Source organism: Homo sapiens, chromosome 2 (assembly GCF_000001405.40).
Source record: "Homo sapiens chromosome 2, GRCh38.p14 Primary Assembly".
Classification (NCBI taxonomy): Eukaryota; Metazoa; Chordata; class Mammalia; order Primates; family Hominidae; genus Homo; species Homo sapiens.
In genome coordinates this window covers 28,109,952-28,129,051 of record NC_000002.12, presented here as the reverse complement: position 1 = coordinate 28,129,051, position 19,100 = coordinate 28,109,952, and the positions used below count along the sequence as shown (strand labels likewise).

The 19,100-nt window shown below is 39.3% G+C and overlaps 1 protein-coding gene across 14 annotated transcripts in view, besides 1 other annotated feature; it reads right to left on the bottom strand.

Annotated features, from left to right (window-relative positions):
* Positions 1–19,100, bottom strand: part of BABAM2 (BRISC and BRCA1 A complex member 2) — a 450,193-nt gene that overhangs the window by 209,850 nt on the left and 221,243 nt on the right. The window lies entirely within an intron of this gene.
* Positions 3,343–3,533: a silencer, noted in NCBI's record as "fragment chr2:28348386-28348576 (GRCh37/hg19 assembly coordinates)". NCBI's record gives its function as "represses an EF-1alpha promoter that drives an FKBP-Casp9 reporter gene in an ReSE screen in K562 erythroleukemia cells {active_cell/tissue: K562}" and the evidence as "EXISTENCE:reporter gene assay evidence [ECO:0000049][PMID:32094911]".

Here is a 19,100-nt window from a genome sequence, read left to right as displayed (position 1 = left end):
CTCCACCTATCTCACTTGTTCCCACATTCAGGAGGTAGGGGGCGGGTAGTGAACCTGGTGGTAACAAAGAATTCAGCAAAAATATAATTAAGTTGCAGTAAACATATTACTATAAACATAATTTACATCCTACAACATCAAAAAACATTAAAATATCCAGTAATTTTCTTACACCTACCTTGACAGTATGTTGTAAGCTATTTAAATAGCAAAAATTTGCAGGAAACATATCACCATGAAGAGTGTCACCATACAAGCAAATGACAAGGGGGTTAGGTACACATCTACTTTGGCAAAATGATAATGGATGATTCATATGTGAATCATGAGACATACATATCTTAAAAGTCTAGTTATAAGAACACTATAAGACAAAACATTGTTGATCCAAGTATGTACCAATAAACATTTGAGATTAACCAAATAACACACAATAAACTAAACTGATAATGATAAAACTAAACTTACTGTAATTTATAATTAAAAAGCAAGAATAGCAGGAACTGAATATTATAACCAACTCAAGCCAACGCTGATGATACACTGATGAAGTGTCCTGAATCAAAACTGTGGAATTTACAACTATGTGCATGTGCTTTATGATTATTGCCAAGCACCAAGTGTCTGCCAGACTTCTGAATAAAATACTGAATTAAAATAAATCTCGTGGCACACATTGATTTTAATTTGTGAATACCAAATTTTAATAACCCTTAATTTATTTTTGGTTGGTAGTGGCTCCAAGTCAAATATAAAAATTTTAAACACTTAATTACTAAACACTTAATATGTGTTAAACACTTAACATCTTTCACTCATAGAGACTGGTAAGAACGGACCTATATTTCTGGATCAGTTCATAGGTCCTTAGGAAGGTTCAGCAGCCACACCAGCAGCAAGAGAGGGAAGGGTCACACCTAGACTTTAAGACTCATTACTCGGCTGGGCGCGGTGGCTCATGCCTGTAATCCCAGCACTTTGGGAGGCTGAGGCGGGCGGATCACGAGGTCAGGAAATCGAGACCATCCTGGCTAACACGGTGAAACCCGGTCTCTACTAAAAATACAAAAAAACAAAATTAGCCGGGCGTGGTGGTGGGCACCTGTAGTCCCAGCTGCTTGGGACGCTGAGGCAGGAGAATGGCATGAACCCGGGAGGCGGAGCTTGCAGTGAGCGGAGATGGCACCACTGCACTCCAGCCTGGGCAACAGAGCGAGACTCCACCTCAAAAAAAAAAAAAAAAGACTCACTACTCATGAGCTTGACATTGTATCTTCAACCTCAAATACAATGTCTTTTGTCTGTCATGCCACCCCTTCTTTTCCTTCATCCTGGGAAGCTGGCCATCACTCATCCTGCTCAACTCCGGAACCTTCGGTCTCCTTGCTCTGCATTCTCTTGTGTGTATAAGATGGATGAGTGTGACATGTATACACAGGGACAAGAACCACAAGTCTCTCCCATCCTAAAAAAGAAACATTTTTAAAGGAAAGGAAAGAATCTTGTTGAACTCTACAGAGCTCCTTGGATTCCCTCTCCTCTCGCTCCTCCCCTTCACAGACTGCTTGGAAGAGATATCTACACACTCTCTATTCCCTTCTCTTCCACTTACCCTTAGCCCACAACGATAGCCTACTACTGACCCCACAAGTTCATGAAGACCATTCCCACTAAGGGTAACCACTAAACACACCAAATGCTTCTCTGCCCTTTTCTTACTTGATGTCTAAACAGTATTTGACATGGGTGACCACTTGCCTCTCGAAACTCTCTTTTCTTGATGGTCTTTTCTTGTCTCTTTGGCCACTTCCCTTTCCGTTTTCTTTCTTTTTTAAAAAATTAAGGACTTCATGTCTAAAATACCAAAAGCAATGGCAACAAAAGCCAAAATTGACAAATGGGATCTAATTAAACTAAAGAGCTTCTGCACAGCAAAAGAAACTACCATCAGAGTGAACAGGCAACCTACAAAATCAGAGAAAATTTTCGCAACCTACTCATCTGACAAAGGGCTAATATCCAGAATCTACAATGAACTCAAACAAATTTACAAGAAAAAAACAACCCCATCAAAAAGTGGGCGAAGGACATGAACAGACACTTCTCAAAAGAAGACATTTATGCAGCCAAAAAACACATGAAAAAATGCTCACCATCACTGGCCATCAGAGAAATGCAAATCAAAACCACAGTGAGATACCATCTCACACCAATTAGAATGGCATCATTAAAAAGCCAGGAAACAACAGGCGCTGGAGAGGATGTGGAGAAATAGGAACACTTTTACACTGTTGGTGGGACTGTAAACTAGTTCAACCATTGTGGAAGTCAGTGTGGCGATTCCTCAGGGATCTAGAACTAGAAATACCATTTGACCCAGCCATCCCATTACTGGGTATATACCCAAAGGACTATAAATCATGCTGCTATAAAGACACATGCACACGTATGTTTATTGCGGCACTATTCACGATAGCAAAGACTTGGAACCAACCCAAATGTCCAACAATGATAGACTGGATTAAGAAAATGTGGCACATATACACCATGGAATACTATGCAGCCATAAAAAATGATGAGTTCATGTCCTTTGTAGGGACATGGATGAAACTGGAAATCATCATTCTCAGTAAACTATCGCAAGGACAAAAAACCAAACACCGCATGTTCTCACTCATAGGTGGGAACTGAACAATGAGAACACATGGACACAGGAAGGGGAACATCACACTCTGGGGACTGTTGTGGGGTGGGGGGAGGGGGGAGGGATAGCATTAGGAGATATACGTAATGCTAAATGACGAGTTAATGGGTGCAGCACACCAGCATGGCACATGTATACATATGTAACTAACCTGCACATTGTGCACATGTACCCTAAAACTTAAAGTATAATAATAATAAAATAAAATTAAAAAAAAATTTTAGATTACAAAATTTAGGCTTGTCTTAACAAGTCAAACCATACAGAAATTTATAAAGTAAAAGCTCTTCCACCCCTCTCTCACCCCCACTTTTCAAGGTAACCAATATTAACTGTGTGTGTAGGTAGCTTCAAACTACTTTCTTTATGCTCATAAAAACATATACACATTTGCATATAAACAGCTCTTTAACCTTCTGTTTTGTTTTCCCTAAAGGAATCATATCGCTCTATCAACTGCTTTTTAAATAGCCACATAATATTCCATGGCATGGATTTATTTTTTATTAAACCATTTCCTTAGCAACAAACTTCAGGTTGTTCACAATTCTTGGCCACTTGATAGTGCTGCAATAAATATTCTTTTGTGTGTGTATGCTTGTCTCAGTGTATGTACATTTGTGTGTGTGCATTTGTTAGTAGTGGAACTTATATTTTTAAATAGAGAATTAAAACTGAGCTTCTTGGGTCAAAGGTTATGAACATTTTACATTTCAAAAGAATTTGACAGATTATTTTCTAAAAATTTTGCAACAGGCCGGGCGCGGTGGCTCACACCTGTAATCCCAGCACTTTGGGAGGCCGAGGTGGGTGGATTACCTGAGGTCAGGAGTTCAAGACCAGCCTGGCCAACACGGTAAACCCCATCTCTACTAAAAATACAAAAATTAGCCAGGCGTGGTGGCACATGCCTGTAATCCCAGCTACTTGGGAGGCTGAGGCAGGAGAATTGCTTGAACCCGGGAGGCGGAGATTGCAGTGAGCCGAGATGGTGCCACTGCACTCCAGCCTGGCTGACAGAGTGAGACTCTGTCTCAAAAAAAATAATAATAATAAAATAAAATAAAAATAACAAAATAAAAAAATATTTGCAACAATTCACATTTGGACCTGTGAGTTTGTATAAGCCTGCTTCCCCTCATCCTGAATCACTGGATAACACTGGCTGTTACCACTCTTTAAAATCTGGAAAATGGTATCTCCATTTAGATTCAATGAATGAGGCTGAGCAACTTTTTACTTATTTACTGGTCATCTACATTTCTTTTGTAAATTTCCTGATCAAATCCATTATCCATCTTGCTTTAAGGTTCTTAGTCTTTGTTGTCGTTGTTCATTGAGTTTCTTAATCTTTTTCTGTCACATGTGCTAAAGTTATTTTCTCTTTTTGACTTTTTACTTCATTTGAGGGCTCTTCTGCCATCACAGAAAATTTAGATTTTTGCAGAGTTAAATCCGGTCAATAACTCTGAGATTCTATAACTGCTTCTCTAGTTTTTCATCTTATATTGTTATAATTTTATTTGTACATTGTAGATTTGCAATACCTCTGGAATATATTTTTAGGTGGCATGATATAAGAAGTATAGCTTTGTTTGGTCTTGTTCTGTTTCTAACTGGGTGAGGAGGGGGATAAGTGGGTAAGAGCAGGATCTTAGCACAGTATCTGGCATATGGAAACCACTCAATGTTAGCTGAATGAATAAATTAGTGAACAAAGGGAATGTTCCTCCCTAATTTTTATTCTCTACATCTAGAGATTTTTCAGGAACCTACTTTACAAATTTTTTTGTCACCAATAATGTCTAGAAACTAAATGCTGGCTCCCTGCTCCTGGCCTTGTTAATACACCAAGTCCTCCAGAACTAGTGACTTTAAAAGGAGAGCCCAGGTCAGGAGTCTGAGCTTACTGATCACTTCTTGCTCTTTTATAGATGATAGAGTATTCAACCTTGAACTTTCTTTTCTGTAAAATGAGAATGAAAATTGTAAAAAACACTCAGGGTCTGCAACGAACAGAAACTACTCAATTGTATAATATGACTTTAACACTCGTCAAACATCTAAAACTAAGGTTAAAGCTGAGCTTGAAGACATTCATAGGAACAAATTCATTTTATGATCTAAGTGTAGAAGTAGCCCTATGTGAGTTAGATTGGTCAAAAAGACAATTAAAAAAGAAATAACATTTACTTTCAGAAACCTTTCCCCAATGACTAAGTTTTCTTATGTAAGGTCAAGGCTAGAGGCTATGATTACAAATCACATAACCTTGCAAAAACACACTGCAAAGAACCAGGGGCCACCAAAATCCTTTATAATTGGGGGCTTTATTCCATATGCCTATGGGTAATTTATAATTACTTCCCTTTCTGACTTTTAAACTTTCAATTTCACTACTATTTCAATAAAGAGCGGAAATGCTTAGAGACAATCCTCCAAACAAACGGAATGACTCTAGTTTATATAATCAACATTTATCATCTGGCATCCTGAAAAAAGTACATAAAACATGAGTCTGAATATGAAACTAGTTTTTTCCAGGAGTTCGTTTTATATGTGTTATTCCTGTTGGTGTGGCACATGAGATTTCCCCGAAATGGTATTTGATTCCTAATGGATATCTAAGTTTGAATTTGAGTGCTTAAACAAGCCCATAGAATTCCAAAAATACAAATCCACACAGTGCTGTTTCTAGTTTCTGCAACTCTAACAAGCATGTACATGTGTTCCCTCCCATCTGGGAAATTAGAAAAGAAGCTCTTGTACCATGGTTCTGAGAAGCTAACATTACAGATGATTACTGTAACCACTAATGGCAGCATTTGGAAAACAGGGGATGGTTACAGCATAGTAGGGGACATTTAAAAACGTACAAGTATACATTTTCAGGGCTCTGTATCTGCACCATTTGAAACTGCAAAAGGCTAAAATGGGAGGAAAGATACCGAATCTGATAAAGCTAAAGAAGACTATTGTCCCCCACCTTTATAAAAGTCTGCCAGGCACTGACACACGTACGGTAAAGCAATAACGGCCATGATATTCTGGTGAGATGTAACAGTGGATCTGGCTCAGCCCTTGATTAAAGGAGTTCCTATAGTGTATAATGAATATTCACTATAGGTGAGTTCCTGGCAGGCTGGGAGATTTTCGTGTTCATTTTTGCACCCCCAGTGTCTGGAACATAGTACATACAGAGCAACTGATGGAAAAAATGGAATTAATGCAGAGATAACTAAAAGAATGAGTAAATGAATGAAATAAGCCACTGAACTAGCTTTTCTAAACAGAGAAATATTTGGGTTTCAGGACTGACAGTATAAATGATGGAATTAAGTGGAAAATGCTTTCAATAGGGAAGATTCTCAGTATTTATCTCCTTAATTCCTTAAGTCTATGCTTAAGATTTTATTTAAAAAAAAACTCAAGTCTGAACTATGTATCGCCAAGGATACACCTATTAATAAGAGAAAATACTTCTGGTTAGATCATAATGGTTCATTTACATAACTATTCTCAATTGAGGCTCTTTGCAAATATCAAAAGGGTGTAGAAAACAACAACAATTAGCCTTGGAAATGAAAGTAAACCAAGTACAATTTATCATTATGCTCTACTCCTTTGATATGCTAATTATCCCAAGTAAAGATAGCAGTCATTAACAAGTCCCTATATGTTGAGAACATTAGTGTCAATATAGGTACAAACTACCAATTAACTAATTGCTGAAAGACATTAGCTGAACAAGAAATACTGCAAATCACAGGTCACGTAACAGGACGGTAAAAAAGCCATTGTATTTCTCAATTCAAAAAGGCTTACAATAAAGTTATAACTGTTACTAGCAAAACCACTCAGTGGGTATATATGGCTATACAGGCGCTATTACATAGTATGTCGAAAATCAAGTAAGTGCTTCTGTGTTTGTTTGTTTGCTGGCCTTAAACACCTGGGCTCAAGTGATCCTCCTGCCTCAGCCTCCCAAGTAGCTGAGACTACAAGCATGAAGTACACCCACCTAAGTAAGCACCATTTTAAAATGGTATTAAGCTAGACTCAGAATTAAGTGTAATTCCTCGAGTAACCAAAAACTAGGTCTAGGTAAGTACTTCATCATACAAAAGTTATGAGTTTTGTTGCCTACCCTGTCACCCAGGCTGGAGTGCAGTGGTGCAATCTCGGCTCACTGCAAGCTCCACCTCCCAGGTTCATGCCATTCTCCTGCCTCAGCCTCCCGAGTAGCTGGGACTACAGGTGCCCGCCACCATGGCCAGCTAATTTTTTTTGTATATTTAGTAGGGACGGGGTTTCATCATGTTAGCCAGGATGGTCTCAATCTCCTGACCTCATGATCCACCCACCTCGGCCTCCCAAAGTGCTGGGATTACAGGCGTGAGTCACTGCGCCTGACCAAGTTATGAGTTTTTGACAAACTATATGCAAATTTGCAAAACAGAATCCTATTTTAAAATATACAAAGTGAGGTTAGTATTTTAGAGGCTCCAATATCCATCAAATTATATAAATTTAGATTTTTTTAATCAAGTTTTTTCAAGTGGGAGAGAATAAGACTCTCTTAGGGTACTACCATTCATTTAAGCATTTAACAAAATAAATAAAATATATAGTATGTTACAAATGTTATAGAGAAAAATTAAAGCAGAGAAAGAAGATAAGGAATGAGGAGGAAATGAAAGTTTAAAAGGGTGCTCAAAGTTGGCTTTATGGAGAATCAGCAGTGGCCTTTCATTACTTCACAGAGATTGAAGATAAAAAGTGCTCTTGACTTGCTATGTTATATATTAGCATATACAGCCCCAATCAAAATTTGAATTTGGGTTCTACTGGCATAAAGACATCACAATGTGTTATGGTAGGAATATGGTAGGAATGAAATAAAATCTAAGCAGAAGAGATAGTCAAGAACAAGGAAAGTGACATAAGTAACACCTTGGTCTCACTGCTAAGAGGTCTGTCTCATAATGACACTGGTCATTTCAGTAATTAGGTTATTTCCTCTTCATAAACATACTGGGAAATGTACAAGAGCCAGGGAAAGCAGTATAGTCAGAAAGCAAAACAAATCCAAAAGTAAGGGAATGAAGTTGAGCCAAACAGATGAGGAAGGGCAATAAACGGGTCCCCTGTGGCTAAACCCGGGGCTTTACTCCATGAAGGAGGATGTTGCAGCACTGGATTGGGGGTTCCAAAAGCCTAGTTACAGCCTATCTCCAACATATACTGAGTTCTTGGTTAAAAATTATCTTGATATTTTGATATCCCTTATGAAGGCAGCATTTAGTAGTTACTTCTGATTTGGTTCCTCCAAACGGAAATGGGAGTAAAAATATTCTCCCCACCTAGTCCAGACAAAATGGGCCACTCTTTATACATTAGCAGAACTTGACTAACATCTTTGCATTTGCCATTCCCCTTCTTAAAAAGTTCTTTCTCTCCTTCTTTTCTTAATTGGTGTGGCTTTAAGTTTAACTCTTTTTGTAAATTCACTTGCTCCATTAAGATTCCTTTCAATTACAATGTGATCTATGTCCTCCCTCGGTAGTTTTCCCCATGTTGCTTCATGAATTCCCCATGCTGTTTCAGCAATATATATTTTATATTCCAAATAGATTGTGAATTTCTTGAGGGCAGGGTAGAGATCTCCTTCTTCCTACTAGGCCCAGTAATATCAGCTAACATTTATTCCGTGTTTACTCAATAGTCACTAGCTTCCAGCTGTATATGCATTATCTCTAATCTTCGTAACAACTGTGTAAGGTAGGAACTAATTATTCTCACTTGCAGATGAAGAAACTGAGGCTCAGAGAGATTAAATGGTGAAGACGAGTTTTGAACCCATGTATGCTGACTCAGACCCTAGCCTCTTAATCATGATACTATATCCTCTAGGATGCTATTGGGCACAAAGAAGAGACTCAGCACCAGTGCTCAAAGAAATGTACAAAAAACTTGGAAACTCACATGCAGGAAAGATTTACTGTATATTTACTTGTTCTACATTTAGTTTCTAAATACTGTATGGCCCAAAGATCATGAGCAACTTAAGGAACCATTTCTTCTTCCCTTATTATCCAAGAATAAATGATATTGTCTGCGCCAGGCACACAGTAGATATTCAAAATAGGTTAAAAGTATATGCTTTATGTGTTTTAATGTCTACTTTTAGAAAGTACAGGGCAAGAAATTAAAATTAACAAATGTGTAAAGACTAAAGGCTATAGAAGTCACTGTGCCAAATTAAATGTATTCACCTGACATCTTTACATGGACTCAGTTAATTAAGGAAGGAGAATGGCTTCTCTGAGGACATCAATGAGGACCATGGCATTCTAAGGTGGTAATATCAACCTTCCTGTAATAATGTACAGTTAGGGCCATTCTATGATTAACTAACTATATTCAGTGAAAATAAGAAGCACTGATTGTCAGGTCAGGAAAGGATAACTGCAATGTTCTTGAAATAGCTACTTCCTACAGGGTGAGCCCAGGACACCAGGACAGAGCTGCTGCCACCTGCCCATGTCTTCCAAAAGCGACATTTTGAGCTCATTACTACTAGATGTCACAATACAGAATAGGGTAAGTTTTTTTTTAATTCTATCTTGCTTATTATTTTCATAAACAAAGATGATTTGACTGCTCTTATTTATGCAGGAATATGTTTGTGAAGCTGTACTTATCCTTAATATATTGGTTATAGCTACTGTTTATAAAACTAAATTGAAACACATGTCATACAAACAAACTTTAGGGAGGAAAATCCTGGCTCTTTGAAAATAATGATGATCAAGATTTTGTTGGCCAAATACTGTCCAATCAGTTATTATACCCAACAGACACAGCCTTGAGAATCACCAGCTTTTGAATAGTCACACATTAATCTAAAAGGTGTGTGAAATGGAGCCCCTACTCTGGAGGCCAGAGAGGTTGGGTGAGGGGAATCCTTTGTAGTATAGCCAGGGTCCTCACTGGAAGCAAATGATGCTTCCTGGCTTCTGCCAACTTCTCTACTCATAAAAGTTTTTAGAGAAAGAATCTGGAGTGTGGAGTTTCCCCTACTGCCCTAAGTGTGCTCTTAATACATTTGATAAGCTTCCTCTGGGCTTACTTAAAGTATCAATTTTTGCCAAGACAATCCTAAGCAAAAAGAACAAAGCTGGAGGCATCATGCTACGTGACTCCAACCTATACTACAAGGCTACAGTAACCAAAACAGCATAGTACTGGTACCAAAACAGACATACAGACCAATGGAGCAGAATAGACACCTCAGAAATAACACCACACATCTACAACCATCTGATCTTCGACAAACCTGACAAAAACATGTAATGGGGAAAGGATCTCCTATTCAGTATGTTGCTGGGAAAACAGGCTAGCCATATGCACAAAACTGAAACTGGACCCCTTCCTTACACCTTATACAAAAATTAACTCAAGATGGATTAACAACTTAAATGTAAAACCCAAAACCATAAAAACCCTAGAAGAAAACCTAGACAATACCATTCAGGACATATGGGCAAAAGCTTCATGACAAAAATGCCAAAAGCAATTGCAACAAAAGCCAAAATTGAAAATTGACAAATGGGATTTAATTAAACTAAAGAGCTTCTACACAGCAAAAGAAAGTATCGTTGGAGTGAACAGGCAACCTACAGAATGGGAGAAAATTTTTGAAATCTACCTATCTGACAAAGGGCTAATATCCAGAGTTTACAAGGAACTTAAACATATTTACAAGAAAAAAAACAAACAACCCTATCAAAAAGTGGGCAAAGGATATGAACAGACACTTCTCAAAAGAAGGCATTTGTTTGGCCAACAAACATATGAAAAAGAGCTCAACATCACTGGTCATCAGAGAAATGCAAATCAAAACCACAGTGAGATACCATCTCATGCCAGTCAGAATGGCAATTATTAAGAAGTCAGGAAACAACAGATGCTGGCGAGGTTGTGGAGAAACAGGAACGCTTTACACTGTTGATGGGAATGTAAATTAGTTCAACCATTGTGGGAGACAGCATGGCAATTCCTCAAGGATCTGGAACCAGAGATACCATTTGACCCAGCAATCCCATTACTGGGTATATACCCAAAGGAATATAAATCATTCTACTATAAAGACACATGCATACATAGGTTTACTGCAGCACTATTTACAATTTTTGCAACTGTTTTACGAATCATATTGAACTACATCTTTGAGTTTCTCTGAGTTGTGATGTTATGCATTCCTGCTGATAAAAACCTTGTGCCAGACTTTAATCCAAGAGCCCAACAAGTTTAAACAATAGTGAGTTTTTATTTAAGCACATATGAAACAGACATGAATACCATTTACCACATCCTTAATACGTCTCCATAACTTAAAGAAAAGGTAGAAGATGTATTCACTTAAATCGTTTAGGTGGCTCTTTTAATGGATAGGAAGATTTAAAGTTGCAGTTGATATAGTGGACATATGTGATATTGCTTGCCTGATACCCTCTCCTCTCTCAGGAAGCTTCTCTCTCTTCTAGACCCCACCCCCAGGCCCCAATCCGTAAAGCCCCTCAAAGAGCTTCCTGTCCTAATACCTGGGAACAGCTGATGGGTCTAGGAAAAGGCTGGTCCTTTCTTCAAGATTTGTGACTAAATGTAGGCCAGTCTCTGCAGATGCAGAAGAAATGGTGAGCTGCCATATTTCCCATATATAGAAGAGACCAGGCTGTGGTGGGAGAGAATAAAGCCAACCTGCTGGGAGAAGTGCAGGCAAGAGAGGAGAGAGTCCAGGCAGCATCCACACCCTTAGTTCCTGTGGGTCTTGGTGCAGCTGTGTCCCTGCTCTTACTGTGGTTTGACTATTCAATCTGCTCCTAGCTTTGGAAAGCTAATAAATTGCACTATATGCCTAAGCTGGTTTGAAGTGGTTTTCCTTCACTTATAACCAACATTTTCTCTGGTAAATTATTAAACGAACACAGATGACACCACGGTAAATCAAACTCTACAGAATTAAGTGCTAAAAAGGGCTTTCATCTCTGGGTTATTTGAATACTTACTACACAGTGTGGAATGCTGGGCCTTCATCAGAACCTCAAAGGGCTCTGAGGACACAGATAAGCTGCATGCCTCCTTACCTGCCAGAGGAAAGCTTTGCTAGAGCAATCTGCCTGCAGTACCAGGCTCTGGCTATAGCTAGGCTAGTTCTCTGGACTTGCTGCCTCTCATCTTGGTGGACTTAAAACAGCACAGTAACACATCCTGGGCCTTAGAACACCTTGCACTCACTGCTCCTCTTCAATCAATGAAGGAAAAGGTATCAGAGGTGCCAATGCTAAAGGCAGAAAATCCATAGGAGTATGCCATTTGAATACATGAAATGTTTTGCCAGTTTATCATGCAACAACTACACGAATATGATGATCTTCTAGCTATAGACAAAATTTTTGTCAAAGAGATCACATGCTTTCATTTTTTTTCCATATGACATGCTAAATGTGGGTATTTGGAGAAGCAAAAAGGTTTACACAGCTTTTGCAAATGTACGTGGAAGTGCCCAGCAAGATCCAGGCATGAGGAAGGTGCTCAATAAGTTAGTTTCACTTGCCTTATTTCTTTCAGACTCTTGGTCTGATATCCTTTTCAAAACCATGCTATTCTTCCTGCTATTAAAGCTACACCCTGTCCTCTCCTCTCCAGGTTGCTGTGAATTCTGGAGTTTAGCGATTCTTCCCAGGTGGCTCTGTGAGTGAAGACAGAAGGGAAAGCCACCCTAGAAGCTAATAACACCTTTGTTCCTACCCACCCAGCCAGCAGGTCACTTGGCTCAGACTGTCTGTGCCCATGGCAACTAAGCAATTGGTTATTTCCAAGTTATTTCAGATACCTGGCAGCACATGCTCATTAACTGGAGACCATCACAAACCACAAGCGTTAGAGAATGGAGCCCACTAGAGAGTCTCCCCTTGACGTGATCAGAGGTCTTTTGATTTGCATATTGTTATCTGTAGAACCTAAAGGGCAGCTTAGAGTTGAAAAAGAGAGGCCTGGAGCCATATCCCTCTGGAACTGTCTATGGGAAGGCCCTGTACAGAAAATGAGCTCTGAGAACCAGTGTAAATACCATATATTTCTCCCAGCCTCAAAAGCCCTCCTCCATCTACATTAGCCTGACATTTAAGCTCCTCCAAGGTGTCTTCCCAATTTCTTTTTTTTTTTTTGAGACGGAGTTTCGCTCTCGTTGCCCAGGCTGGAGTGCAATGGTGTGATCTTGGCTCACTGCAACCTCCGCCTCCCAGGTTCAAGCGATTCTCCTGCCTCAGCCTCCCGAGTAGCTGGGTTTACAGGCATACACCACCATGCCCAGCTAATTTTTGTATTTTTAGTAGAGAGGTGGTTTCTTCGTGTTGGTCAGGCTGGTCTCGAACTCCCGACCTCAGGTGATCCACCCACCTCGGCATCCCAAAGTGCTGGGATTACAGGCATGAGCCACCATGCCCGGCCTCCCAATTTCATTTTTCTACCACCCTGCTGATACATCCTAACTACTGCAGGTTCCCACACTCCATGTCATCACTCCATCAGGTCTCTGCTCTGCCACTCAATCCTGGACGCCTTCTCCCCGGTCTACATCCCCCAACCCCAAATCTCCAAATTGGACCTACTCTTTTTTTTATTTATCTATTTATTTATTTTTATTTATTTATTTTTTGAGACGATTCTTGCTCTGTCCACCAGGCTGGAGTGCAGTGGCACGATCTTGGCTCACTGCAAGCTCTGCCTCCCAGGTTCATGCCATTCTCCTGCCTCCGCCTCCCGAGTAGCTGGGACTACAGGCGCCCGCCACCACGCCTGGATAATTTTTTGTATTTTTAGTAGAGACAGGGTTTCATCGTGTTAGCCAGGATGGTCTCGATCTCCTGACCTCGTGATCCGCCCGCCTTGGCCTCCCAAAGTGCAGGGATTATAGTGAACCTACTCTTTTAAGTTCAATTTAGAAGTCATATCCTCTCATGAGACTTCCTTTATCCTACCAGCTCATGTAATGGTCTCTCCTCTAAAATCCTACAGGTTTTTAGGTTCACCCAAATATGATAGTATTTGATTGGTTTGTGTGTGTGTGTGTGTGTGTGTGTGTGTGTGTGTGTGTGTGTTTTAAAGTTATTTACATATGTGTTATCATTTATCTGATTGGGTTCCTTAAGAGCAATGACTGTTTCATTCATTTTTGTATACAAAATGAATTAATATATTCATTTTGTATTTGTTTCATATTTTGTATTTGGTGTCCAGTATGGTGCTTACCACAAAAACAGGCACCCAATAAATATCTGAAAAACAAATGTATGAATGTGTATATGAATGACTACATATATTTGCCAGTAAATTACTGTTTCAAAACTGGGTTTCAAAAGCAGACTTCCTTAGTAGACACAACAGAAATCTATTGAAATTATTAACTTGACTTTCCAATGTAAATCAGTTGGTATAAGTTTGGGCAGAATAGGCCATTTCTCCCCAGGTTTAGATCATGCCTTGGAATAGGAGGAAAATTTGGATCTGTACACTTAACTGAATGATCAAACCCTAGAGTGCAGAAAAACAAGAGCAATCTTTTTGCCATGTCTAACCATAATCGGATCTCCTAAAACTAGAGCCAATAAACTTCTAAACAACACATTATATGGTGTTCACTGAGTCAACACTCATGATTTGCCAACCACGTGTAAGGCATTGTGACAAGCATAATAAAGAAAAACAGAAGGATTGTAAGAATCAGTCCCACTCCTCAAAGAGGTCAATATAAACACATGAAAATGAGAGAAGTTTCTTCCTTCTTCTTCAATAGGAGATCCTACAAGGTAATACGTGATTAATTATCAAGAGCCCTATGAGGAAAGGATGAAGAACTCCTCAGTTGTTTCTATATACCGAGAATGAATTCGTTAGACTCTTTTCTGACATTATGCTTTTAAAAGAAAAGAGATAAAGAAAGCAAGAGAGTATGCTGAGACTTTGCTAGAGTCGCTTATCAGCTTAAGGAGTTTTGGGGCTGAGACGATGGGTTTTCTAAATATCCAATCATGTCATCTGCAAACAGAGGTAATTTGACTTCCTCTCTTCCTGTTTGAATACTCTTTATTTCTTTCTCTTGCCTGATTGCCCTGGCCAGAACTTCCAATATTATGTTGAACAGAAGTGGTGAGAGAGTACATCCTTGTCTTGTGCTAGTTTTCAAAGGGAATGCTGCCAGCTTTTGCCCATTCAGTGTGATATTGGCTTTGTGTTTATCATAAATAGCTCTTATTATTTTGAGATACATTCCATCAATATCCAGTTTATTGCATGCAAAAATCACAAGCATTCCTATACACACCAATCATAAGCAAACAGGGAGCCAAATCATGAGTGTACTCCCATTCACAACTGCTACAAAGAGAATAAAATACCTAGGAATACAACTTACAAGGGATGTGAAGGATCTCTTCAAGAACTACAAACCATTGCTCAAGAAAATAAGAGAGGACACAAACAAATGGAAAAACATTCCATGCTCATAGATAGGAAGAATCAATATCGTAAAAATGGCCCTACTGCCCAAAGTAATTCATAGATTCAATGCTATTCCCATCAAGCTACAATTGACTTTCTTCACAGAATTAGAAAAAACTACCTTAAATTTCATATGGAACCAAAAAAGAGCCCATAGAGCCAAGACAATTCTAAGCAAAAAGAACAGAGCTGGAGGCATCACGCTACCTGACTTCAAACTACACTACCAGGCTACAGCAACCAAAACAGCATGGTACTGGTACCAAAATAGATATACAGACCAATGGAACAGAACAGAGACCTCAGAAATAACACCACACATCTACAATCATCTGATCTTTGACAAACCTGACAAAAACAAGCAATGGGGAAAAGATTCCCTATTGCATAGCGTTGGGAAAACTGGCTATCCTTATGCAGAAAACTGAAATTGAACCCTTCCTTACACCTTATACAAAAATCAACTCAAGATGGATTAAAGATTTAATCCATCAGGACACAGGCATGGGCAAAGACTTCATGACTAAAACGCCAAAAGCAATGGCAACAAAAGACAAATTTGACAAATGGGATCTAATTAAACTAAAGAGCTTCTGCACAGCAAAAGAAACTATCATCAGAGTGAACAGGCAACCTACAGAATGGGAGAAAATTTTTGCAATCTATCCATCTGACAAAGAGCTAATATCCAGAATCTACAAGGAACTCAAACAAATTTACAAGAAAATAACAAACAACCCCATCAAAAAGTGGGCAAAGGATATGAACAGACACTTTTCAAAAGAAGACATTTATGTGGCCAACAAACATGAAAAAAGCTCATCATCACCGGTCATTAGAGAAATGCAAATCAAAGCCACAATGAGATACCATCTCATGCCAGTTAGAATGGCAATCATTAAAAAGTCAGGAAACAACAGATGCTGGCAAGGATGTGGAGAAATACGAACACTTTTACACTGTTGAGAGTGTAAATTAGTTCAACCATTGTGGAAGACAGTGTGGCGATTCCTCAAGGATCTAGAACTAGAAATACCATTTGACCCAGCAATCCCATTACTGGGTATATACCCAAAGGATTATAAATCATTTTACTATAAAGACACATGCACACATATGTTTATTGCAGCACTATTCACAATAGCAAAGACTTGGAGCCAACCCAAATGCCCATCAATGATAGCCTGGAAAAAGAAAATATGGCATATATACATCATAGAATACTATCCAGTCATAAAAAAGGATGAGTTCATGTCCTTTGCAGGGACATGGATGATGCTGGAAACCACCATTCTCAGCAAACTAACACAAGAACAGAAAACCAAACACCGCATGTTCTCACTCATAAGTGGGAGTTGAAGAATGAGAACACATGGACACAAGAAGGGGAACATCACACACCAGGGCCTGTCAGGGGGTAGGGGGCTAGGGGAGGGATAGCATTAGGAGAAATACCTAATGTAGATGACAGGTTGGTGGGTACAGCAAACCAGCATGGCACATGTATACCTATGTAACAAACCTGCACATTCTGCACATGAATCCCAGAACTTAAAGGAAGGAAGGAAGGAAGGAAGGAAGGAAGGGAGGGAGGGAGGGAGGGAGGGAGGGAGGGAGGGAGGGAGGGAGGGAGGTAAAGAAAGAAAGAAAGAAAGAAAGAAAGAAAGAAAGAAAGAAAGAAAGAAAGAAAGAAAGAAAGAGTAATGGGTATCTCAAGAAAAAGTATGAACATCTTCTAGAAGTGGTAAAAGGTGAGGAAAGAGGCTCTGGCTTTCCCAGACTGCATAATGCTAAATAGTAAGCTATGGATGTTTTTCAGTGGACATCATTCTACCTCTTCCGGTTTTCAGAACATCTAGCTCAAAATGTGTAGAGACAGGAGGACCAGTATCAGCACCCAAATGAGGGTGTAGCATGAACTTGTGAACAGTAGGCAGCTGAAGCCTGGATGAGCGGATGACTTCATTTAGAGCCTTGCTACCCAAAGCAACAGCATCAGCTACACCTGGGGGATATTTTAACAAATTCCTAGGTTATTTGTATGTGCACTGAAGTTTAAGAAGCACTGGCTTAGAGGACTGACAATTAAGAAAAAGAAAACGGGTCCAAAGATGAAAAAAAGAACTGAAAAGCAACACACTGAAGTATTATCCTATGATTAAACAGGAGAACACAGATGAACTATGATGTTTCACTGGTCTAGGAGAGTGGAAGATATTTTACACAAAGTTTAGGATTTAAGAATAAGTATACAAGTGATAAAAAAGTAGACAAATTGTACTTCATGAAAATTTTAAAACTATTTGCATAAAAAGACAAATACCAATAAGGCAAACTATGAAATGGGAGAAAATATTGTCAAATTATATATCTGATAAGGGATTAATATCCAGAATATACAGAGAATTACTAAACTCAGTAACAAAAAAACCAAACAACCTCAATTCAAAAACGGGCAAAGAACTTGAATAGACATTTCTCCAAAGAAGATATAGAAACAGCCGGCTGGGTGTGATGGCTCATACCTGTAATCCCAGAATTTTGGGAGGCCAAGGTGGGTGGATTGCAAGGTCAGGGGTTCGAGACCAGCCTGGCCAAAATGGTGAAACCCCATCTCTACTAAAAAAAAAATACAAAAAAAAAAAAAAATAGCCAGGCGTGGTGGTGCAGGCCTGTAATCCCAGATACTTGGGAGGCTGAGGCAGGAGAACTGCTTGAACCCAGGAGGCGGAGGTTGCAGTGAGCCGAGATTGCCCCACTGCACTCCAGCCTGGGTGACAAAGCGAGATTCCATCTCAAAAAAAAAAAAAAAAGAAACAGCCAATAAGCATATGAAAAGATGTTCAACATAAATCAAAACTACAATAAGATATCACCTCAAATCCATTAGGATGGCTACTATCCAAAATAATAGCAAGTGTTGGCGAGAATGTCAAGAAACTGGAGCACTTGTGCACTGTTGGGGGTAGTGTAAAATGGGATCGCTGCTATGGAAAACAGTACGGCAGTTTCTCAAAAAGTTAAAAACGGAATCACCATACTATCCAGCAATACCACTTCTGAATAGATACTCCAAAATAACTGAAAACAGGATCCTAAAGAGCTATCTGCACACCTGTGTTTTTTTATTTTATTTTATTTTATTTATTTATTTTTTTTTGAGATGGAGTCTCGCTCTGTCACCCAGGCTGGAGTGCAATGGCGCAATCTCGGCTCACTGCAACCTCCACTTCCCGGGTTCAAGTGATTCTCCTGCCTCAGCCTCTCGAGTAGCTGGGATTACAGGCACCTGCCACCATGCCTGGCTAATTTTTGCATTTTTAGTAGAGATGGGGTTTCGCCTTGTTGGCCAGGCTAGTCTCGAACTCCTGACCTCAGGTAATCTGCCCACCTTGGCCTCCCAAAGTGCTGGGATTACAGGCATCTGCCACCACACCCAGCCACACCTGTGTTTATAATAGCATTATTCACATTAGCTAAAAAGTAGAAGCAACCCAAGTGTCCATCAACAGATGAATGGAAAAGCAAAACATGGTATATATGTACACATATATGGAATATTATCCAGCCTTACAAAAAAAGAAAATTCTGACATCCTACAACGTGGATGAACCTCGAGGACATTATACTAACTAAATTAGCCAGTCACAAAAAAGACAAACAGTACTGCACAATTCCACTTATCTGAAGTTTGAGAGTAGTCAAAATCGCAGTGACAGAAAGTGGAATGGTGGTTTCCAGGGGGATGATTTCTTTAACAGGTTTAGAGTTTTAGTTTTATAAAATGAGAAAGTGAGAAAGTTACAGAAACGGATGTCATGATGGTCGCACA